Source organism: Homo sapiens, chromosome 4, assembly GCF_000001405.40.
Source record: "Homo sapiens chromosome 4, GRCh38.p14 Primary Assembly".
In the NCBI taxonomy this organism is placed as follows: domain Eukaryota; kingdom Metazoa; phylum Chordata; class Mammalia; order Primates; family Hominidae; genus Homo; species Homo sapiens.
Window position 1 is genome coordinate 7,416,218 of NC_000004.12, and position 22,612 is coordinate 7,438,829.

At 56.9% G+C, this 22,612-nt stretch overlaps 2 protein-coding genes across 9 annotated transcripts in view, besides 6 other annotated features; one reads left to right on the top strand and one right to left on the bottom strand.

Moving 5' to 3' along the window:
- The window catches only part of SORCS2 (sortilin related VPS10 domain containing receptor 2), a 550,290-nt gene that overhangs the window by 223,680 nt on the left and 303,998 nt on the right, over window positions 1-22,612 (top strand). The gene's annotated exons all lie outside the window — the stretch shown is intronic.
- Window positions 5,946-6,911: an enhancer, noted in NCBI's record as "H3K4me1 hESC enhancer chr4:7423890-7424855 (GRCh37/hg19 assembly coordinates)". NCBI's record gives its function as "activates a minimal SCP1, AML or CMV promoter by ChIP-STARR-seq in primed H9 embryonic stem cells {active_cell/tissue: H9 hESC(primed)}" and the evidence as "EXISTENCE:reporter gene assay evidence [ECO:0000049][PMID:30033119]".
- Window positions 10,832-11,375: an enhancer, noted in NCBI's record as "H3K27ac-H3K4me1 hESC enhancer chr4:7428776-7429319 (GRCh37/hg19 assembly coordinates)". NCBI's record gives its function as "activates a minimal SCP1, AML or CMV promoter by ChIP-STARR-seq in naive H9 embryonic stem cells {active_cell/tissue: H9 hESC(naive)}" and the evidence as "EXISTENCE:reporter gene assay evidence [ECO:0000049][PMID:30033119]".
- Window positions 11,919-12,462: an enhancer, noted in NCBI's record as "H3K27ac-H3K4me1 hESC enhancer chr4:7429863-7430406 (GRCh37/hg19 assembly coordinates)". NCBI's record gives its function as "activates a minimal SCP1, AML or CMV promoter by ChIP-STARR-seq in naive H9 embryonic stem cells {active_cell/tissue: H9 hESC(naive)}" and the evidence as "EXISTENCE:reporter gene assay evidence [ECO:0000049][PMID:30033119]".
- Window positions 12,463-13,006: an enhancer, noted in NCBI's record as "H3K27ac-H3K4me1 hESC enhancer chr4:7430407-7430950 (GRCh37/hg19 assembly coordinates)". NCBI's record gives its function as "activates a minimal SCP1, AML or CMV promoter by ChIP-STARR-seq in naive H9 embryonic stem cells {active_cell/tissue: H9 hESC(naive)}" and the evidence as "EXISTENCE:reporter gene assay evidence [ECO:0000049][PMID:30033119]".
- Window positions 13,007-13,550: an enhancer, noted in NCBI's record as "H3K27ac-H3K4me1 hESC enhancer chr4:7430951-7431494 (GRCh37/hg19 assembly coordinates)". NCBI's record gives its function as "activates a minimal SCP1, AML or CMV promoter by ChIP-STARR-seq in naive H9 embryonic stem cells {active_cell/tissue: H9 hESC(naive)}" and the evidence as "EXISTENCE:reporter gene assay evidence [ECO:0000049][PMID:30033119]".
- PSAPL1 (prosaposin like 1) lies at window positions 14,068-18,713 on the bottom strand. The gene has a single exon (NM_001085382.2). The coding sequence runs from the start codon at window positions 18,660-18,662 to the stop codon at window positions 17,097-17,099; it is 1,566 nt and encodes a 521-aa protein (NP_001078851.1). The 5' UTR covers window positions 18,663-18,713; the 3' UTR covers window positions 14,068-17,096.
- Window positions 14,639-15,182: an enhancer, noted in NCBI's record as "H3K4me1 hESC enhancer chr4:7432583-7433126 (GRCh37/hg19 assembly coordinates)". NCBI's record gives its function as "activates a minimal SCP1, AML or CMV promoter by ChIP-STARR-seq in naive H9 embryonic stem cells {active_cell/tissue: H9 hESC(naive)}" and the evidence as "EXISTENCE:reporter gene assay evidence [ECO:0000049][PMID:30033119]".

Below are 22,612 nucleotides of genomic sequence, written 5' to 3' on the forward strand. Positions count from 1 at the left end.
CATTTGGCTGCAGCGTTCGTAGGGGACAGGGAGGAGGAAATTGCAGGGGTTTAGGGAGGCACTTTTTCAGCCAGTGGGCAAAGGAGGCGTGGTATTCAATAGGGTGCTTGGCCCACAGAGCTCCCCCTCCTTGCCCTCCAGGACACAGTTGAGTGCAAAGTCCAAGCATGTGTGTTCCTGGAGGGGCTGAGTCTGGGGCAGGACTCAGTACTTTGCATTCTCCCACTCCCACTGATGCCCTGTGTACGGTGCATACACACACTCATGCACGCTCACACAGACACGCACGCTTCCTCCTCCATACTGACACACTCACACACGCCCACACGTGCATGCATGTGCACATGCACACACACACACATGCAGACACATGCTCACACTTGTGCGTATACACAGACACGCATATGGACACATTCACACACAAGCACACACATGCATGCATGCACACACTTGTGTGCACACTCAGACACGCATGCATGCACTCACTCACACTTGTGCACACACTCAGACACACACGCATGCACACACACTTGTGCGCACACAGACACATGCATGCATGTACACACACGCTTGTGCACACACAAACATGCATGCATGTACACACTTGTGAACACACACAAACATGCATGCATGCACACACACACTTGTGCATGCTCAGACACACACATATGCATGCACACACACGTGTGCAGACACACTGACACATTCACACACACGCACACATACTCTCGCACACACACACCCACACACCCATGCCTCTGCCTGTGGTCTGCAGAAGAGCAGAGCGGGGTCTCCTGCTCTTTGCATTAAAGTGACATTCTGCCCTGGGGATATGATGCATTTTAATGAAGCCCCCCACCCCGGGGTGGGAAACACGAGGAAACTGTCTTTGTTTTCTGTTATGTAGTAAACCTCGCTTGAGTGTGCACTGAAGGATGGAGCCATAAACCTGTTTACAGGGCAAGCAGCATCTGGGATTATGCCGGCGGCCGAGTGGCATGAAGGGCGAGCTAGACTTGTCCAGGGATGATGCTCTTTTTATAAGGGTCCTTGTGGAGTGGCTGAGAGATGGCAGCGCCAGGAAGCCCAAGTCCTGCCTTTCTTGGAGCCCTGCTTTTCCTGTCCACAAAATGGGAGCTGACAGGATTGCATATGGGCCACTCTGGATGGAGTTTGCTTAGCACAGGGGCTAACACAGGGAGCAGTTTTTATTATGCTACGGATGGTAGCTTGGGGGTAGAAGCTAGTGTTTGTCTGAGTTTGGGAGAAGCATGGGCACCCTAATTCTGGAAGTCTCAGCTCTGCCATTTATGAGTGACCTTGGGCAAGTCTTCTGCTGTTTCTAATCCTGTTCTCCCACCTTTAAAACGGGTCTGCTGAGATGGGGCAAAGGTGCTTTGTGAGGTCCTCAGTGACTGTGGGACCCGCTCTTCCCGGAACGTGGCCCTTGGCCCCTATCACTTCCCCTGACCCTGCTGGGCCTCGGCTTGCCCAGGCGTGCACTCCTCTGGTCCCTGCATCAGGCCTCTCCTATCTGCAGAAGATGCAGAGAGCTGAGTCGCCCTTTTCAATTCAATGGGGAGTGAGAAGCGGAGGCCTCTGAGCCAGTCCCAGTTGGGAACGGGTCGCTGAAGGCTCCCAGGGCACATGAAGGGTGAGGGGGAGCAGCCCCACCAAGGGGCAACAAGTTTTCAGTTGATGCCACAGGAAAACATAAGAGTGAGCCAGCAGAAGGCTAGAGGGGCCCTGGGGTCAGTGGAGCTTCATGGCTGGTGTCTGGCTCATCAGATGTTTATGAAGCCCTTACCAGGCACTTGGCCTGTGTCAGGTGCCATCAGCTGGAGGCTCTTACCAGTTACGCTGTCACTTCTTCCTCCTCCTCCTCACCACACCCACCTTCCCTTCCTCCTTCCCTTTTTTCTGAGTTTTTCTGAGCGCTCAGCACATTTCAGGTGTACCCTAGACTCCGGAGATTCAATGTTGAATGAGGCAGACACAGCCTCTGTCCCCATGGGGCTCGCGTTCTAGCAGGGAGGCAGACAAGTCACTGGGTGATGCCCATTCAGTGATATGAGCTGTCCCATAGGGAGGAAGTGCTGCGGAAGTGCACGGGACGGGGCAGCAATGCAGGCCCAGGGGTCAGGCTGGCTGGCCTGGGGGAAGTGCTCTCCCGCCAAGACTTCAGGATGAATCTAAGTTAGCCAACAGTTAGAGGGAGTATTTCAGAGCAGACCACCCATGCAAAGTCTGAGAGACTGACAATGGATGGGACATTAAGCGCGAGGTGGAGTTGGCAGGGCGCAGGACTGTGGGGGTCACAGAGATCATTGTCTCCACTCCACGAGGACCCTTATAAAAATAGTATCATGTCTCAAAAAGTCTAGCTCAGAAATTAGAGGTGATGGAAGCTGTGCCCTCTGCGGGATGAACATTGAAGTTGCAGTGAGGGTGATATATCAGTTAGCTTTTGCTGCGTAACAAATGACCCCCCCCCCCACCAGATTTGTAGATTAAAACAACAGTCATTCATTGAGCTTACGATTCTGTGAATGGGCAATGTGGGCTGGGCTCAGCTGGCTGGATCTTTGGTTATTGACTGGGCTCAATCTTACATCTGTAGTAAGCAGCCAATTATCTTGGTGGCTCTCTTTCTGAGGCTTGGCTGGCCTTTGCCTGGGGCAATGGGGAAGACTGGGCCAAATGACTCTTATCCTCCAGCAGGTTAGCCTGGGCTTATATACACAGGGCACCTGGGCAGAGGTTCAAGAAAGAACGGCAGCACATAGGTCTCAAGGCATGGACTTGGAAGTCACGTAAGATCACTTCTGCAAATCTCATTGGCCAAAGCAAATCACAAAGATTGACCTTTATTCAAAAAGTGGGGAAATAACTCCACTTATTAAAGGAAGGACCTTTGCAAATGGGTGTGGATACAGGGAGGGGATGAATTGCAGCCATTTTTTTCAACAGAGGTATTTGGTTTGGAGAAGAGAAGGTATGAGGCTAGTTCCCAACTGCTGAGTGCTTTCTGGGGTTCAGGAGACAGGCAGTTCCATAGGGTCCTGAGGGCAAAGCTAGGATCCAGGACTCCATCTGGAGAAGACCTTTTTGCTGGGTAGAGGTCTCTCATGGGGTCTGGCTGGCCTTGGACACTGGAGGAACCAGGAAAGGCTGTGTGAGCCTTGGTGAGAGACACATGGCCAGAACTCAGGTTACAGAGAAAGGGTGGCCTCTGAGGTTATAGCAATGGGCCTTGTATTGAATGGACCACATGCTCTGGTTGACCTTTGCAGTCAGTGCTCCAGGCATCCAATCCTCTGCCTATTTGCAAAGCGTTGCAATAAAGAGCCCATAATCTCTCGAGTGCATGGATTTCTTCCTGTGGAAGCTCATCAGTTTCTCACTTTTCCTCTGTAAACACTGGTGTTTTGAGTCAGCCTTCTTCCAAGGCGAGCTGGTGTCATCTGAACTGCAGATTGGCAAGCCGTCTCAGACAAATAGGCCTCTCTGCACTGGTCCAAGGACTTGGCTGAGACATGCTGGGTCTGCAGGACAGTGTAGATGGAAGCCAGATCTCTGGATCTAAGAGGCAGCAAGCTATGTCAGGGTAGGCTTGCTGCTGTAGCAAACAGCCCCAGTGATTCAGTGGCTTCCTAGGATGAAGTTTCTCACTTGTGCAATGGTCCAATGTGGGTATTCCTAGCCAGGTGCTTCCTGGGCAGCTCTTCTCTGAGCATTGTGATGCAGGGACTCAGATTCCTTCCATCCTGTAGCTCTGCACACTCCTCTCCCGCTAACCAGGGCCTAAGAGTCCTCCAGTCTAGCAGGCCGGGGAGACAAGAGAGCATGGATTATACACAGAGGACTTCCAGCCACACTCTGTCAGCCAGATCTCAGCCACTGGGCTGCTCCCATCTGCAAGGGAGGTTGGGAAATGTAGTCCACAATGTGCCTGGGGGGCAAGGATTTGGCTTGTGAACACCCAGCTGGCCCCAGTAGAAAATGGCTGCAGCAACGCCAGTTTTGGAGTCAGCAGACTTGAGTGTCAAGCAGGCTCTCCCATCTCCCATCTAGGGCTCTCTGGGCCTCAGAGTCCCCATCTGTAAAATGGGCACAGTGATATTCTCCACCTTGCAGGTTTGTGGGAGCCTTGGATGAGATCAAGCAGTGAAAGCACCAAGCCATATCCTGGCTGGGCACAGGTCCCAGGAGAGCTAGCTGAGACTCAGAGAGTGTCCAGGGCTCAGGTCCAGTTGGCACAGCAGCCAGTGGACATGTGGGGGCACTGGAGAGGTTCTGGCAGCTTCTTTCATGTGCAGCTGGAGGCAGACCTCATGGGACTCAGGAAGGCAGGGTGTCCAGTGTGGCCATGGAAGGAAGTCTGGTGTCACTGGAGGGGCTGCACACCTTGCCTGCTTGTCCTCTTTCCTGACGCCACTGAGCCCATTGCCTCCCCTGAGCCCCGTGCCCCATCTAGCAAGCTAGGGCAGTGGCAGTCACATACCTGGAGAGGACTCCGTGGGATTCAGGACCCACACGGTCCTGAGGCTTCTTCTTAGACCTTATCCACCATGCCCCACCAGCCAGCCCGCCTGCCACCGTCACAAGCTGGAGCCTGCACGGCATGCTTGATGCCACTCAAAGCTTAAGTAGGTTCTCGGCTTGGCGCGGAGCCTCTCGCTTGCCTCCTCTGCCCGCCTGTCTCCTCTGCCTGCCGTTGCAGGGGACAGCAGGGTGCCCAGTGCCCCACTCAGCACGTGCGTACCAGCAGATGTTTGCCATCACTGGTGTTTGGTTCTGCCCTCCTCCTTGGAGATGGAGACCCGGGCCTGGTTCCCAGTTCTCTCTTGGGTGCTCAGGGACCCTAGGGCTGTTTCGCTCCATCCCTTGCCCACACAGTGTTTGCATTTAAACTTCTGCTTGGGTCCCCAGCACAAGCTGTTGGCTGAAGCCCCAGGGAAGGCACTGGGCTCTGCAGTGAGTCAGAGGGGGCACCCACCTGGGTCATCTGGTGCACCACGCCATGCGTTTCCCACGAGAGTCCCTGTTCCCACAGCTTCTCCTGTGTCTCCTCTCTGCTCTAGAGGGATTGCATGAGAGGTGGCTAAGAACGCAGGCTTGTGGACCTGATAGATCTGAGTTCCAGTCCTGGCTCTGCCTCTTGTTAACTGTGTGGCTTTCGGGAAGTGACTTTCCCCCTCTGAGCCTGGTTTACTGCATCTGTGATAATAGAGTTGCTGGGTTGCGGGGTCCAGTGGTAATGGATGTAAAACACAGAGCCCAGGCCTGGCTTCTAGCCAGCGCCAGGGAATACTCGTCATCGTCGTTCATGGTCATTCTTTAGCAGCACTGTACTTCTTGGCAATGGGAGTGTGGGGGGTGAGGTTCTTGCCCCCCATAACTCCCTTTGTGTGTCTCCTAAGCCACAGCCTGGCCTCCCTCTCCAGTGGCTCCGGGGACAGCGAGTGACTGTGCACAGGCTCGGCCCTGGGGTCTGGAGCCCCCGCTGGCTCTGTGGGACGGCCACTGCGGCCCCTCTCTGGTCTCCCTGTTCCTGCTTTGGCCTCCTCCAGTCTGGAGGGCTCCTGTCACTGAGGCCTCCTGCCTGCCACCTTGCAAATGAAATCCAGTGGGCTTGCAGGAGAGGGAGTGCAGGGGCTGGGGCGGGCTTGCAGGAGAGGGAGGGCAGGGGCTGGGGCGGGGCTGGGCATCACGCTCCCTCCCCCATGGTCGACCTTGAGATGCTCACTTCCCTTGTCGACCCCCACCTCCTCATCTGTGAACTGAAGTGGGAGGGGTTGAACCACACCGGTGCAGTCCAGCCTGGTCGGTGCCCCCTTTGCTACTTTTCCTCCATGAGCCCTGCATTTCGGAAAACCAAGTCCACCATCTTGTACGGGTTAATCGTCACCCACCTAACGTGGTCAGACACGCCACCTGGGTTCAGCATGTCAGAACCTGTGCCTCCGTCACCATCCATTCTCTGACCTTCTCCTGTCACTGCCCTCTTGAGTGGGCCACCTGGGCTGATTTGTCTCAGAGCCCAGCTCAGCCTCCTCGGGCCATGCCGTTCTCTGGGACAAGGGGCCCCCAGGCTGGGGGAATGTGCTGCCCGGAGCCTGCAGCCTCCTCTAGGTCCTGGATGCCCTGCCCGCTTCTACAGCCTGGGCAGGCCCCTCCCGTGGCCTTCCTTTCCGTGGACACTGCCCGTGGGCCCACAATGGCTGCCTAGGGAGAGAGGTGTGTGGACCGGGCTGGTGTGTAGGGGCTGGGGTCTACACTCAAGTTTGAGACCCCCTGCTGTGCAAGTCAGAGCTGGGGGCAGAGGTGGGGTGGTCCCAGGCCCCCTTGGTGCTCCTGCCCTAATCCCCTTGTGTGTGAGTGCTGGGCTAGGTTGCCATCCAGGCCATCTCTCAGACCCACACACTCCTTAGTGTCTCCCTCATCTCATCCACCTGCAATTCCTCCAGGATGTCCCGGAACAGGGACCTCCTCTCCCATCCTGTGGCACCGCCGTCTCTCGCCTGGACGCCACAACCCAGGTCTCCCTGCGCCTGCCCTTGTCCCCGAGAGTCCGTTCCAACACCAAAGTGAACTTCAGAGAGCACAGAGGCCTCGTCACTGCCTGCTAATAACTGACCCAGGGCTTCTCAGCACACCCGGAGGTCCATGCAGCCTCCAGGGCACCCCGCGGGGATCCGCAGACCACGGCCCCTCTCCATGGCCAGATCTCTAAAGGCCCTAGTATGTACCCGCCCCAGCACCTGCCACCCCTCCCCTACCCCCCACCCCTCTCTCCACTTCTCAGCCTTCACCCCAGCTCATCCCTCCCAGGGAACTTCTCCTGATCTGCTGGCTCTGATTCCTCAGATGCCAGCTGAAGGCCACCTCCTCCGAGCCACTCCCCGCACCCATCCACGCTAGGGGAAGGTGCCCTCCCTGTTGGAGGCTCTGACTCCGTGCTGTTTTCTCTTCATTGCACTGATCATAACCGCTCAGGCCTTAAATGCATTATTGCTGATGATATTATTTTAATGCAGTTTCCTGTTAGAACATTATAATTGTTATTATTTCTTTATCTGTGGCCTGTGTGTCTGCTCCATTAGGTGACAGGCTCAAGGGAGCAGCATCCCTGGCTATGTGGTTCACTGTTGGATTCCAGTGCCTAGAGCTCTCCTGTGGTGTGGAAAGCAGGGGCCGGAGGTTTTTGCTTTTTAGAAACAGGGTCTCACTCTGTCACCCAGGCTGGAGTGCAGTGATGCTTATAACTCACTGGAGGCTCGAACTCCTGGCCCCAAGCAGTGCTCCCATCCCAGCCTCCCTAAGTGCTGGTGTTACTGGTGTGCACCACCACACCCAGCTGAGACTGGACATTTCATTTGTCCTGTCTGAGATGCTGGCTTGTGATCACTCTTTGGGGGACAGGTCAGTTTCGTGCCCAGGACCAGCCCTACCCTGGCCTAGCACCTGGCATGAGTCGGTGCTCAGGGAGACCCAGGCTGCCCCACGGTGAGCTCTGGGGTGGATGACTTTCTTCAGCTTGTTTCTTTAGAAACAGTGGTGTGCTGATGAATGTTGAACAACCAGCTCTCCAGGAAAACAAACAAACAAACCCAGCAACACTGATTTGTAATGTTGGCCAGTTTTCATGGTGTAAGTTCTCCCACCGTGGCGGCCAGCGTCAAGCTGCCAAAGTGACATCATCACACGCGGTGTTGGGAAGAGGCACACTCCTTGCTCCTCAGCAAGGGCCCAGGCATGCTGTGGCTTAGGAGGATGGCAGGGCGCTCCGTGTCCTGGCATCCGTGGGTCTGTGCACAGCTGGGAGGATGCTGCTTACCCAGCGGAGAGTGGGATGTTGCCAGCTATTCCCAGGACCTTGGTCCCTGGCCTGTCACCCTGGGTCTCACATTGTTCCTGGCCATGTGTGAAAAGCGGGTGGTGGGACAGAGCTGCAGGCTTGGCCCAGCGAGGGGACTCTGCTGTCATTAGCTGTGTGACTCTGGGCAAGCTCTAAGCTCCCTCTGAGCCTCTGGCTCCTCGTCTGAAGGGTAGGGTGGGGTGGCCATTGTAGATCCTTCAGGAAACCCCACGATGGCAGGCAGTGGCAGGCAGGAAGGACTGGCAAGCTCTGTCTCCAGCCTGGGCTCTCTGGGCCTGAGCTGTGTGTGACCGTGGAAACATCCCGTTGTCCCTCTGGCATCACTGCCTCTGTCCACCCAGTGTGAACGCTGTGCCCAGCCCCTTGGCTATAAAATCCGGGTCCACACAGTCCTCTGAATTGGGGGAGGAAATGCAGGCTTGGAAAGATCTAGAGGCTTTCCCAAGTCACCCAGTGTGTGGGTAACAGAGCCCTCCTCTTTGCCGCTCCTCACCTCCTCATGGTGGCAGGAGCGCCCCCCTCTGCTAACGTGACGTGTGACCCCCGCACTCCGCAGGGCTCACAGCAGCTCCCCAGCCCAGAGTCCCTGTGCCGGGGCTCTCAGCAGGACAAAGCAGTGAGGGCGTGCGGGCACCGTGGTGGGTGTTCTGCATGGGAGATCTCCTTAAGCCCTCCCTACCATGCCTTCAGCACACACAGGCCCCCACATGCCCAAGGAAGGCTGCCCAGTGAGTGCGTGTTGGGGCCTGCCCTAAAATCAAGGCCTGAGGGACATTGGACCACACAGTGCCCGGCACCACCTCCCGAGGGGCAGGCACTCTGCTCCCAGGACACTGGCATGGGTGCTGTGCCCCGGAGGGCCGCGGGGTCAGCAGGAAGGTGGAATGGATCCCTGGCCTTCTGTGACCTTGCCCCATCTGTGGGCCGAGCTCAGGGACACAGGATGTTGGTGCAGTTCCGGGAGGTGCCAGATTCCACAGGCTGCAGGGGTGCCTCCCCTGTCCTGCTCTCTCCAGCCTCTCACGACCCAGAGCCTCAGATCCTCCCACACCAGAATCCACTAGGAACAGCACACCACGCAGGAGCCTCCGTTTTCGGTTTTGCTGAATGTCCCAAATCCCTGGCCCTTGATCGCTGTGGGGTGACCTTCGGCTCCAGAGACCCCAGGACTGGCCTGTGTGGCCTTTGGCAAGCACCTGCTCTCTGTCTCCACAGCCGCAGCCTGGGCAAGAGACGTCCCCTTGAGATGAGATGACCCCGATAAAGGGCCTTGCCTGTGGAAGGTGCACTCGCTTCTGCTGTCCTGGTTTCGGTTTCCCCCGTGTCCTGGGAATGGCAGTCTGAGAAACTGGTTTGGGAGTGGCGAGACGTTCCCCTTCATTTTGCAGTTACTCCCACTGTCCTAAATAAATGATACCTAACCCCTCCTGGATTAGAAGCCCGACACCTGAGCGGCTCTGCTCCTTTCCTTGGTCTCACAGAGAAACGTCAGAGGCTTCTGAGCCGTCAAATGGTTGTCAGGAGGCCCAGGTGCCAAATCACACTCATTTTACAGCGGGAAATTCAAGGCCTGCAGAGGGCCCAGCTCAGTCTTCAGGTGGGTTTGGTTTGGCCCGGCCCGCAGTGGACCGAGCTGTCAGCATTTAGGAATTGCGAGTTCTCACATGACCAGCCTGGGGTCCCCACCTCGCTGGAGAAACGAGGAAGGGGCGGCAGCAGGCAAGCATCCCGAGGCAGGGACGGCCCATTGGATGGGGCCTAGGCTCTGCCTCGTCCACACTTCCGGGCCCTGGCGCTCTCTGAGCTTGTGCCCCAATCTAGTCCAGCCTCTTCTGGTTACAGAAGGGAAACTGAGGCACAAAGGCATCATGATCCCGTCCTGGGGAGTTAGACCCGGAGCACAGGTCTCAGGAGGGCCAGCCCCTGGGTCTTCTGCCCCGGGATGCTGGAGGCGTGGGCAGTGTTGTGGTTTTCATTCTCCATCGCTTGCTGTTCATCAGTGTATGTCCTCCCGAAACAGATGCACTCACAAGGCCGCCCTGTGGCTGTAGACCCAGAGGAGAAGGTGGGGAGGCCGGGAGTTGCGGGCCAGGGCCTGTGTTTTACCTTGTGGGGGGAAGCCCTGGGTCTGCTGTTCCTGAGACATTTTTCCCCACCCTCAATGAGTGGCCCATCGGATCCCGGGGCTGGTGGCTTTGAGCCAGGGGAGGCCCGAGGACGGCTTTGCTGGCTTTGCAGGTCAGGGAGACAGTCCAGCTCCTGAAGAGGCCTTCCCAGCACACACTGCCCCGCTGAGGGTGGCCCCTGGGGGCCCATTACTAAGAACCATGTTGCAAAGTGTTGTAGGCCAGGTGTGGCTCACACTTGTAATCCCAATACTTCGGGAGGCTGAAGCAGGAGGATTGGTTGAAGCCAGTAACTTGAGACCAGCCTGAGCAATGTAGCAAGACCCTCCAGCATTCTCCCTCTGTAGGAAGCTCAGGGAGGGTTGGTGTCATCAGCCCGATGGAAATAGCACATGTACTGGGTGTCTTGTGTGTGCCGGGCCCTGGGGTGTGCTCGATGCGGTCACCTCATTTCCTCCCTGGACAAACCCCACAAGAGAGGGTACCTTTACCCTCTTTGTGTACTTATGGGATGCCTGAGGCTGTGGGCTGGTCAGTGGCTTGCCCAGGGTCACACAGGTAGCGAGTGGTGAGGCGAGGCCCTCCCGCACCGGCAGTGAAGCCCGTGTTTCTCTGCATTAACGTCTGGCCTCCCAGAATCCACATCTGCTCCGGCAATGCCCAGTTGTGCTGAGCGGGGCCTGAACCCGGATAACAGTGGGGGATGTGTTTTGGAGCGATGGGGCCCTGAGGACAGGCTTCCTGGGGCAGCCATGGAGGCTGGGCCCCTCCCACCAAGGAAGGGCTTAGTGGTGGGGGGCACAGGGAAAGAGCGGTGGTTCCATTGAGCCCTCGCCTGCCTTGGGCCACGGCCTCCCAGGGTGACAGCCTGGATCTGGAGAGTTTGAGAGGTGCTGGGGAGAATCCTGGCGCAGCCGGAGCTCCAGGGTAGCGTTAATGGCAGCATATCCATTGTGGGCACATGGAGGGTGACCTAGGGGGCCTCTCGGTAGAAGAGCAAAGTCTTGTGTGGCTGGACTCAGGCTCTGGGGGGGGCTTTGAGTCACTGAACATGGCTGTTTTTATCCCATCCCTTGCTTCGGAGCCAGACTCTAAATGTGATCTAAGCATAGGCCTGGGGCCTCGGGCAAGAGCACTGTCCCTCCCTGGGCTGTAGAGGTTTGGAAAGAGAGGGGGGCCAACTGTCCCCGACTTCACTCCTGAGCTTCAGCAGTGGGAGGATGGGCCAGAGCACCTCATGGGGACGGGATGAGACGGTGGCAGGGGCCGAGGAGCTGGGCTGCGCCTGGGACTTGGAGCATACTTCCTCCTGCCTTTGGCAGCTGACCATCTGTGTTAGTGCGTTCTTGGGTTGCTATAAAGAAATGCCCGAGTCTGGGTTTCATTGGTTATGCAGGACACCCCAGGAGGTGGGGTGCTGGGATCTGCTTCGTGTGAGACTCGGGAAGCTTCCAGTCATGATGGGAGGGAAGGAGGAAGCAGGAGTGTCACATGGAGGCAGGGGGCAAGAGAGTGGGAGGCAGATCTCACGTGAACTGAGGGGAGGACTCATTCATCAGCAGGGGATGGCACGGAGAGCCTTTCCTGAGGGCCCCTCCCCAACGATCCCACACCACCGCCCCCCCGCCCCCCCGCACCAGGCCCGACTGCAACGCTGGGAATCACATTTCAACACCAGCTTTGGAGGGGGCAGGCATCCGAACCATATCACCACCCCTGAGGGCGGGGGGATGGAGGTTGCACTGCAGCCAGAGGGCAGGAACAGGTTCGCTCACCTGGGGTCTGCTCTGTGGGCTCTTCTGGGGGCACCCATCTCCCTGAGTTTCCATACCCAGACTCCATCCAGCCGTCATCTGTGGGTCCTGGGGTGGGGCCCATCTGCCCGTGGCTTCACCTGGACCATGGAGGACAACCTTGTTTTGCACAGCGTCCCTGGGGCGGCTGCTGGAACTGAGCACAACGGATTCATATTCATTTATTGAAAGATGGGCTCCATATTGTATAACTGGAAGGTATGGCCACAGCTAGGCCTTGTCAGAAACACACAACCGCAGGGCGGCATCAGCACAAAGGGCAGACCAGAGGGCTGAAAGTGGTCCCAGAAGAGCCAGCGTTCATTCGCTCATCCTGTGCTCATGGAGCCTGTTCCATGCTGGGCTCTGTCTTGGTGACAGGACTGTGGCAGAGACCACTGAGACGAATTCCTGCCTCCTGCAGCTCGCATTCCAAGGGAAGCCAGGCCACAGCCAGATAGCCGAGTAGAGTCAGTTATGGGGCCGAGGGCAGTGAGGGCAGCAGAGACTAAGACAAGTGTGGAGTGGTGGTGGGAATAGCAGGTGGGGGCCGGAGGTGATGCTGGGCAGGGTTCTGCAGGGAAGGCCTGAACCGCAGGAGGGACTGAGAGGAGCATGTCTAGGGCCAAACAAAGGCCCTGGGGTGGGCCTGGGGTGTGTGCAAGGCCAGGCCGGGGTGGCTGGAGAGGAAAGAACAAGGGGAGGGGCTGGGCTGCACCAGGGTGGGGTCCACCCGGCTGGTGGTGGGTTGGTAAGGGCCTCAGCTTTTATCTGCTTTTACTGGGAGTGAGGAGGTTGTGAGCTGGCCCGGACTTAGATTTTGTCAGGATCACTGCTGTGATGAGACTAGACAGGAGGGGGTGGTGGCGCAGGGGAGCCCAGACCCCAGGAAGGCACCTCTTCACCAGTCTGAGTGAGCCGAGTGGCTGGCTCACAGGGTATGTCCACTAGCAGGATTAGTTGTCACTGTAACCTGGTAACCATGCTGCTGGATAGGGATGTGGGGCTGCTGTGACCATTTCACAGACGAGGAAAATGAGGAAAGGAGAATGTAAGGGTTTGTCCAGGGGTGGCAGAGTTGTTGACTTTTGACTTGGTGCACTGCATTGAGGCACATGCGTGAGTGTGTGCATGGGGTTGGGCCGGCACACCCCCTGCCTAGGGCTTTGGGGAAGGTGCCTGTGACATCACGATGTCCCTGCGGCATGGCTGGAGCTGAGCGTGGGCTTCCCTGGTGCTGCTCTATTCCACCCCAGCTCCCCGGAGATGTGGCTGGGGGCTCACAGCAGCTGGGCATCCCTGCACCCATACGTGCTCTCAGGGCCTTGGCATCAGCATTTGGCTAATTTACCAGGTCCCATCGCCTCTTCCGCCCTAAGGGCATTTGGTGAGGAAGACATGAAGAAAACAGCAGCAGAGAGTGGTTAAGGTACTCTGGGAAAGTGAATCTGCCTTACCAGACCTGGAAATCACAGTGTAACTTAAAGATCTGTAAAAATATAACAATGAAAATGCATTTTCAGAGGCTAGCTGGAAGAACAGAAAAGACAGAGGTGTCATGGAAGGACTTGCCTAGAAAAGCCCCTTCCTCTGTGCATGCACCCGGCGGGCCCCTCCCACAGGGCACCCTCCATCCTGCGGAGGACCCGGGGAGGTGGGGTCACCCAGGTTAGGGATGAGGACCCTGAACCAAGGCCACAGAGTGGTGGGGTCAGGACTTGCACGTGGACATATCGTGGGTCGCGGGTGTGAGGACAGAGAACACACGCCCTGAGCCTGCTGCTCCCTCCACTACTGGCTGTGTGGCCTCGGGCAAGTTATTTAACCTCTCTGGTTTCAGCATCCACCTCTGGGGAATAGAATAAGAATAGTCCCTGTCTCACGGTGACTGTGGGAGGTGGGCCATGAGGGAAGCCAGCCCAGCTCCTGGAGCCATGCCCGGCAGGCTGGCAACCCCCGTCCGGTGCACAGGGGCCACTGTCCTGGGCCCTGTGGTGCCTGGCACTCGGGTGTGCTGGGGAAGCTTTTCCAGGCCCGCTTCTCGTTGTAAGGAATAGATTTGACTTTCATCCCTGGAGGTCACGGGAAGTGAAAGTGGGGGAGGGAGCGTGGACAGCATGGGCTGTCCCTGACGTGCCCCTCCAGGGCTCAGGGCTCACTGTTCCCACATTGAAGGTGGCTGTCCCCACGGACTGCTCTTCCATGCTTTCCAGGAGAGCCCTGAGTTTGTATAAATTATTCACCAAAAAAAAAAAAGAGACAGAGAGAGAGAACATCGTTGGGTATATTTGTATCTGGTTTGAAGTTTCTAACAACACATCACTTCTAAGAAAAGCCCCAAGCCAAAACAAACAAACAAACAAACAAACAAAACAAAAACAACAACAACAAAGCAGCTGGACCACCAAGCCCTTTTCCAGGCTCCCACAGCCCCTCTGCATCTGGTGTGGCCGAGAAAGCCCGAGGGGCAGCATCCATAGGTGTTCTGGGACGTCCCAGGCCTCCGCCTTACGATGGCATCTGAAGAATGCCCAGCATGTGTCTGGCTGAAGGTGCAGGTACTTGCTCGGCTCTGGCAGCCCGGCGGGAGCCCTCTCCCTCCTCCCAGGCAGAGATGCTCCTCTGTGCGGCGCAGTCACCACCTCTGGGAAATCCATGCTCAACATCTGTCTTGATTTCCCATCCTTGCTGGGATGGGTCTCCCAAACTTCTAGGCCCAGTAGGGCCAGCTGCTCTTCTCCTGGGCTGGTATCTCCTCTCCCACAGCTGGACAGTTACAGCACCCTCCGCTGAAAAGCCTTTTCCAGCCTGAACGCGGCGGCTATGGAGTCATTTGGATGGACTCCTTAAGCCTCAGTCTCAGTGCTGAATGGTGGTGCTGCCGTCAGCACCAGTGGGCCCGTCCCTTGCTCCTCCTGCCTCTCTGCCTTTAGACCCCAAGGCAGCCACTCCCCACGAGCACTTGCAGAGCACCTCCTGTGTTCCGGGCTTGGTTCCGGGCACAGGGGATGGAGGTGACTGAGACCCTGCCACAGGCCTCCACAGCTTTGGTGGCGGATGAGTGAGTGGAGGGGTCAGAGGGCCCCTATGGGGGTGGGGCAGGGCCGTGCTCATGACCTGGGTGTGCAGCTGGGCCTGTGGGGTCATGGCCAGTGAGCTCCGTTCATCACGGGCAACCATCTAGTGGAGACGCATGTGCTCAGTGGGTCTGTGGGAGCAGCTGGTACCCAGGCCCAAGGGGTGGGTAGGGAAGAGGGTGTGGGGACACCCCACCCTGACCACCCACTGCAGGTAGCTCTGGGGTGGGGGCAGGTGGGCTGAGCTGGGCCACCTGGCAGGTGTGGCGCTTGCCCTCTCCCGGCCTCTCCCAGGTGACCTGTCGGGGGATTTCAGGTCATGTCACACATACTTCCCGGTAGGCATCCTCCCGACTCACAGCCAAGCCAGAGGAGGGCCTATGGCTCCATCCTGTCCCAGAGAGTGTGTCAGGTGGGAACACCTACCGGCAGGCAGACAGAGAGCCTCTGGGGCTGCTCCTGGAGAGGGTGGGTGGTCTCAGGGGAAGAGGCAGATACTGAGGCCAACAACTTCGGGCCCCTGTGTTTTGGAGTCTGGTGCAGAGCTGCCTTCCCATGGCCCATCCGGTGGCCAGGCACGACCACCACCCCTTGCTGGCCTTATCTTTTGTGGGACTGCCCAGCGGGCCCAGGCCTGCCCAGCCAATAGGGGCCACTTCTGAGGCATCCAGAATCTCAGGCCCAGTGTGCCTGTGTTCCTGGGGCGGTGGCCCAGGTCTGCGACGTTTACTTAAGAGCTCGGGTGTGGCCTCTTGGAAAACAGCACCCGCTCACATCCCGTCCATCCAGGCCTGGCGCACCTCTTACTCAAGAGGAGAATTAATCCATGGGCCTCAGGTGAAATACCAGCTTCCACCCCCGGGACTCATGTGTGCGGCTCCCAGATGTGTGAGCACCTGCTGCGTGCAGATGCTGGGCCAGCTGCAAGGACACTGCAGGGTCATGCCCAGGGGCTCTCCTGGAGGGGGCACAGTGTCTTAGGGGGGCCAAACAGCAGGAGCAGAAACCACAGGAGCACTTGAACCCAGATGGAAACCCCCCCCGGAGGCTTTCTGCCAGAGGGGGCACCGGGGCGAGGTGGAGGCACCAGGGTAAGGTGGAGGCTGTTGTAGCAGCTCTGGGATCTGCGCCTTCCCTGAGAATAAAAACACGGCACACGGCATTTGGAGAACGCTTGTGGTTTATACAGCGCTTGCACCGCCAGACTCTCCTGGGTGCCCCGCTGGGCCCCTGAGATGGGTTTTCTGGTCCCAGCAGACTCATGAATGCCGGTCTCGGGGGAAAGGGGCTCCAGAACGTCTCTGTGAATTGTCTCAACATTCTTGTGAGGCAGGTATGATCATCCCCATTCTACAGATTAGAAAACTGAGGCTCAGACAGCTGGAGGGCTGTGTTCACCGTCTTTGCCCTCGCTGCTCCACATCCCGGTGGCCACCCCAGACTCCTCCGGCTTTTCCCGGGAGCTTTTGCCTGGCATATTTTGCTCTCCTGACTTTGAGCACACCCCAAGACTTTCCTTCTGCTCATTACCAGGGCAGCGGAGGGTCTGGGGTGCAAGGAGAGAGAGGGACCCTGTAGTGGCTGAGACATGGGGGGGGACTGCTCCGAAGCCCAGCAGCCCTTGGAGAATGTGACCAAAGCCCCAGACCTCTCCCCGGAAATGTCCAGGGATACGTGCTTGTCATACACACCTTTGGCAGCCACCCCCAGGGACTCCAGGTTGAGAAGCTCTGGCCTGAGCGAGACCCAGACTCCCACCCCCGGCTGTTGGCAAGAGGTAATGACCCTACTAGTGATGGGCCCTCGAAGCCTCCGTCCACCCCTGCCTCCGCTCACCCCGGCCATGACCCCAGCCTGGCTCACAGCCAGATGTCCATCCAGCAGAAGGTAAAGGGGCACCTGAGCCCATGGGCAGGCTCTCATGGGACCACCGGCAACATCTCAGCCTTGGAGATGAGAGGGCAGCCTTGGCTGGGTCAGGGAGCGGGGCACATGAGTGTGTTCCGGTCCAGTAGAGATGCTTTCAAGGGCAAAGCTGTGCGGCACCGTTGTTAAGAGAGAGGCTTTCGGGATCAGGAATACTTGGTTTTGAACTTCAGCTCTGCTCCTTCCCAGCCTCCCTCCTCAGAGCTTCAGTTTTTCATTTGTGAAATGGGGATGGGGAAAGCACCCACCTCATGGGCCTCGCTAGCAGGCTCTGGGTCTCTGGCAGCCACGGTCACGCGTGTTCCCCAGCGTGGAGGTGCATCTCTTTCCATACATGCTTCTGGCAGTGTTGCACAGCGTTGCACAGCTTGGCGGCCTCCTGGCTCCTGCACCAGAAGCTTGGGCCCAGGGCACACTGGTCGGTGCCCAGCAGTGGGGTCCTGGGGCCGTGGCAGGCCCCCACCTTCTTGCACACAGCCACGGGGTCCATCATGTCCTTGAGACTCTCAATGAGCACGGGCTCGTACTGGGTGACGAAGTGCTTGCACTGGATCATATAGGGCAGCGGCAGGATGCTGCAGCCACCCTTGAAGGCCACCAGGATGTCTCGCTTGGTGCTCTTGCTCTCCAAGTTGTGGGAGGACACCGTGAGCAGCCTCTTGCACCCATTGCAGAAGCTGCCCTGGTTCTCCGCGTCCCACTCTGGGGACGGCACGATGGCATAGGCATCATGGACTGCCCGGGCCCGCCTCCGGTTGCCACACAGACGGATGAACTTGCACACCTTCTCTGGGGTGATTTTGGCCACAAGCTGCACCAAGGAGGGGCTGTAGGTGTCCACCAAGATGATGCACTCCTTCGTGATAGAGGCAGGCATTACCGAGCACACGCGCTCCAGGGCATGGGTGATCATGAGCTCAGAGCTGTTGGACATGAGCCAGTGGTCCAGCTTCTGCACCACGTTCATGCACACCTCACAGGTCACACCGGCCTTCATCTGCATCTCGCTCTGTTTCCTTGGCAACCCCAGCTCCAGGGAGGGGACCCCGTCCATGGCCACTACTTGAGTCAAACGGGCAGGTGCCCCTAGCTCCTCACAGAATCCCCCCTTCCTGCAGAGCTCCTGCGGGGGGAGAAGCCTCAGTGCTTGGTCAGCAGGGACAAAAAACTGGAAGAGGTAGTTCTTGCAGAGGACGGCCAGGCCAGGCCCCAAGGACTCACACTGCTCCTGGATGTTCAAGTCGGCCAAGGTCAAGTTGGACCGGACAGCCTCCTGGAGTCGGGAGACCTGCCGTACACAGTCTTGGCACAGAGCTCCTTCAGGCGCCTGGCGGGGGTGGAAGGTAAGGGGCCCATTGGCCATGAACGGAGCCACAGCCTCAAAGGTGTCCTCTTTGGAGAGTGGCCTCAGGGTGGCCAGGTGCCTCTGCAGCGGCTCACAGAGGCTGAGCGCTGTGCACACCTGTGCCGGGGCACTGTCCGGGGCCCCACGGAGCATGCTCAGGATGGCCGAACTGTGGGCATCCACCATCCACTTGCATCCGGCTGAAGACTCCTGGCTGGGGAGCCACTCACAGGTCTTCATCACCAAAGCCAGGATGTCAGACTCCGTGGCGTCAGGGTTCAGCCCATTGCCAGCGGCGGCTGCTATGTCCTGGCATACGTCGCAGGGCAGAGACTTCGCGGTGGGTTTGTTCCATACGGCCCCTTGGCAGTACCCCACAGCCCCGCACCTGGCAGCTGTCTGCAGATCCTGACACCACACCGTGGAGCCCTTTGCACACTCCTGGGGGCCTGAGGTGGGGCTGGCCCTGGTGGCCCCCAGGAGGCTGGGCAGGAGGAGCAGGGCACACAGCATGCTGCCCAGGGACTCTCTGGCTCCAGAGTACCCAGCAGTGGCTGCTGCTATAAACCTGGCTCTCCTGCCTGGCCCCAGAGGAGGCACGGAAGGGCGGCCCCACCTCCTGGCCACTCCCACAGCCTGACTCACACCCTGTGCCCGGGGATTCCTGGCCTCTTCGCCTTTGCTCTTGGAGTGCCTGGAACACTATCCCTCCCCTCTTTTCCCCTGGATAAGATAAACTCTTAGCAGTTTTCTGAGCCTAGCTGATACGTGAATGAAGCTCGGCTCCTAGGAAGCCCTCCTGGCCCCTGGGCTGTGTCCCCCACCCTCCCCCTGCTGCAGTAGTTCCTGGGGTTCCCTTCCCTGCAGCTCACTGTCCTCTCCTGACTTGTGTGGCCTGGGTCCCCTCCTGGAATGTGAGCCCCCCTCACACCCCGAGGAGTCTCTGCCCCCATTCTGGGAGGTACGGAAAGGCACCCTCTGCCTTATTTGCTGAAGATCGAGTGTTCCCAATGACTGGCCACCCCCTGGATGCCACTGTTTTCTAACGTGGCCTCAGGGCCACGTGCCCAGCTGGGGTTCTGCCCCTGGCTGTGCTGTTTGGGGAGTTAGTCTCTTTGAGCTTCAGGTCTTAAACTGTGAAGTGGGAGAGCTGTGGACCTCACTGCCACACCGCAAAAGCCACTTGCAAACTCAGGTCCTCGAGCCCAGCCGGTCTCTTCATTCTAGAAATGTCAATCAAAGGCTGAGTGTGGGCTGGTCTGTAGTAGGCGTAGATTAAATGTTTGTTGAAGGTACACACACACAAAAGAGGTTTGTTTCGTTTCTGTGTCATCTGTTATCTTATCTTTTTCTTCTTCCTTAGTTTTTAAAATAGTTCTTAGGCAAGAGAGTCAGCTGGGTGAGCACGCACAGGCGCCTTGCGTCGGGTCCTGTTCATTAAATGGAGAAATCTGGAGTCAGCCTCACCTCTGGCCTAATTGCCAAACAGCCATGGAGTGGGCAGGCCAGAGGTTTGATGGCAGGGGGCTCCCCTAGCCCCACATGTGGGTGTCCTCAGCTCAGCTTCCTGGGCTTGGGTGCTCTGTAGGAACACACTTCCCAGTTATGTGGGTCGGGCAGCCTGGCCTGAAATTGCAACAGCCACACATGAGGAATGCAATAGTGCAGGGTGCTTCCCGCCAGCCCTCCTGCTGGGTACAGGGGTCAGGAAGAGAAGACGGAAAATAGGATTTGCTGAGTTCTTGCAGTGACTTCCAAGGACTCTGGTTGCTGGGGACCAGTGGAGGGGACAGTCTTAGGGAACAGGTGAGCCTGGGTGTGCTCAGCTGCAGGATGGCAGCTGGCCAGCACCTCCAGGTCATACCCCAGGTGGGGCTGGAGACGTGGGTGTCCTTACCTGGACTTGGCTCAGCCAAGCACGTGTTGATACATTTCTATGGGCTTATGATGGGCCTGCCATTCATTCAGTCCATCGCCTGACATTCCCAGGGCACCCACTCGCATCCCACCAGGACTTTGGGCACCAGGCTGAAGCAAACAGAAGGGCCTGCCCCTTGGCGTGAACGCAGCTGTGTGCCAGACTTCCTGCGAGTCTCTTGAGACCCCACCCCCACGGCGCTGCCTTGGTCTCTTGCACTGAGGGGGTGCGACCCAGGAGGCCAGAATGTCCTCCTCATCCTGACATCCCTTGAGCCTGGCACAACATCCCGATAATGAAGGACTTCTTGGCTCGGCATTGTCTTTGTATGATTGACCCACGCTGCTGTGTTTAGCTGTAGAGCCGACATTGTCGTTTCTGGGTAGAATTCCACTGGGCAGGTGGAATGCCCCACTGGGCCCTGGGTGTGTATTAATTAGGTCAGTGCACCATGGTGGATTTGTCTACTCGACCCTTGATGGGCCTTTGGAACAATTCCACTTGGGAGCCAGTAGAAGTAACGCTGCCCCGAACACTTCTGTGTATGTCTTGGATGCACACGTGTCTTCCCTTCTCTGCTGGGTCTTATGGAGGAGCGGCACGGATTGGGCATGCGTCGTGTGTGTTGAGCAGGTACTGCTGGATCGCTTTCCAAAGTGGTTGTGCCCGTTCCCACTCCCCTCAGCAGCATTTGAGGAATTCTGATTGCTCCATGTCTGTTTTGTTTCGGGGACTGGGGTGTTTTCCAACACCAACGACCGATTCTTACAGACGCCAACTGGGAGCCCTGTAATTCCTTTCAGTTCTGACACCAACTACCTGGAGTTAGCACAGACCCCACACGTTAAGGGCTCAGCCCCCACTGTAGATGCTAATAATCACAGGTCCGAGGTTGGCACCTGTACTTCTGACGAAGTGGCTATAAACCAGGGTCCTGAGACCCCCTCCTCGGGTTTGATAATTCTCTAGGGTGGCTCATAGGACTCAGGAGACCGTTTGCTTACATTTCTTATTTATCATGAAAGATATGACTCAGGAGGCTGTGTACAAGGCAAGGACTAGGGGCCGGGGTGCAGGGCTTCCACACCCTCTGGGTGTGCCACCCTCCTCACGCCCCCATGTGTTCACCAACCCAGAAGCTCATCAAACCTCATTGTCCAAGAGTTTTTCCAGAGTTTAATCTCCAGCAGCCCCCACCCCTTCCCAGAGGCCAGGGGGTGGGGCTGGAAGTTCCAGTCCTCGAATGGCTTGGTCTTTCTGGTGACCAGCCCCATCAGAGGCCATCTAGGGACCCCACTGTAGGTCACCTCATTAGCATAAACTCAGGTGTGGTCAGAGGGGGTCATTATGAATAACGAAATACACTTCTGTCACTCAGCAAATTCCAAGGGTTGGAGCTCTGTGCCAGAAAGTGGGGACAAAACCAAACACTTTTTTTTTTATCCCATGGCGGGGATGATGTTGGATTACTTAAAGGATGGCTGCAAGAAGGGTACAAGGCACTCCCGAGTACCTTTGCCCAGACACACCTGCCCCACTTGTTTCGAGGTTCTCACTGCCCCTCCCTCCTTTCCTCTCACCTGTCTGTCCACCTACCTAGCCACCTACCTGTCTGTCCACACACATGTATATATTTGCACGTAATTTTTTTATAACCTTCGAGCGTAGGTGGAGACATTGTATCTCTTTACCCCAGTTACTTTGGTGCCTATTTCCTAAGGACCAGGACATTCTCTCATAACCACGGTGCATTTATGAAAATAAAGAACTGTAGTGTGGATACAATACTAGAATTTAACCCACAGCCCAGTTCAGCTTTACCAGCAGCCCCAGTGCTGCCCCATGTGGCATTGATTTCCCAGGTCCAGCCCCAGTCCAGGCTCACACGATGCAATTCCTGGTCATGGTGCCTCAGAGGCCTTCCATCGGGAGCTGATGGCAGCTTTGTGTTTTCTTTTGTAGCACTGGGGAACCAGCTGGTTATTTTGTAGAATGTCCCTCTGTGCAGGTCTGACTGGGCTTTCCTCTTGACCAGACCCAGGTCATGCATCGTGTGGGGGGCCATTGTTGATTTATCAGCATGTGTGATCTTTGATCACTTGGAGAAGATCTACCAGCTTCCTTCTCTGTAAAGTTATTTCCCACTTGTAATTAATAAGCAACATTTAGAAAGGTATTCTGAAAATATGTAACTATCTTGTTCCTCATCAAATGTTTATGCATTTATTTGCGCACCTGCCCATCATTTTCTAGCTCTGTCTTCCTTCTCTATTGATTAGTTTGTATTCTTCTGTGAATAAAAAAGCTTTATCTCCCCTTCCTCTCTCCTTCCTTCTGTTCCCTTTCTCCTCTCTCCCTCCCTGCCTCTCTTTTTCCTTCCTTCCTCTTTCCTTTTTTCTTTTTTAAAAGACTCAGAATTATTTTTTACTTATGTTTTTTTAAAAAAAGTTTATTTAATAGACTATAATCCAACACACCTGTCCCACTTGCTTCGAGGTTCTCACTACCCCTCCCTCCTTTCCTCTCACCTGTCCACCTACCTAGT

Coding starts and splice junctions, on each gene's coding strand:
- PSAPL1 (NM_001085382.2), bottom strand. CDS start 18,662: ATGCTGTGTGCCCTGCTCCTCCTGCCCAGCCTCCTGGGGGCCACCAGG.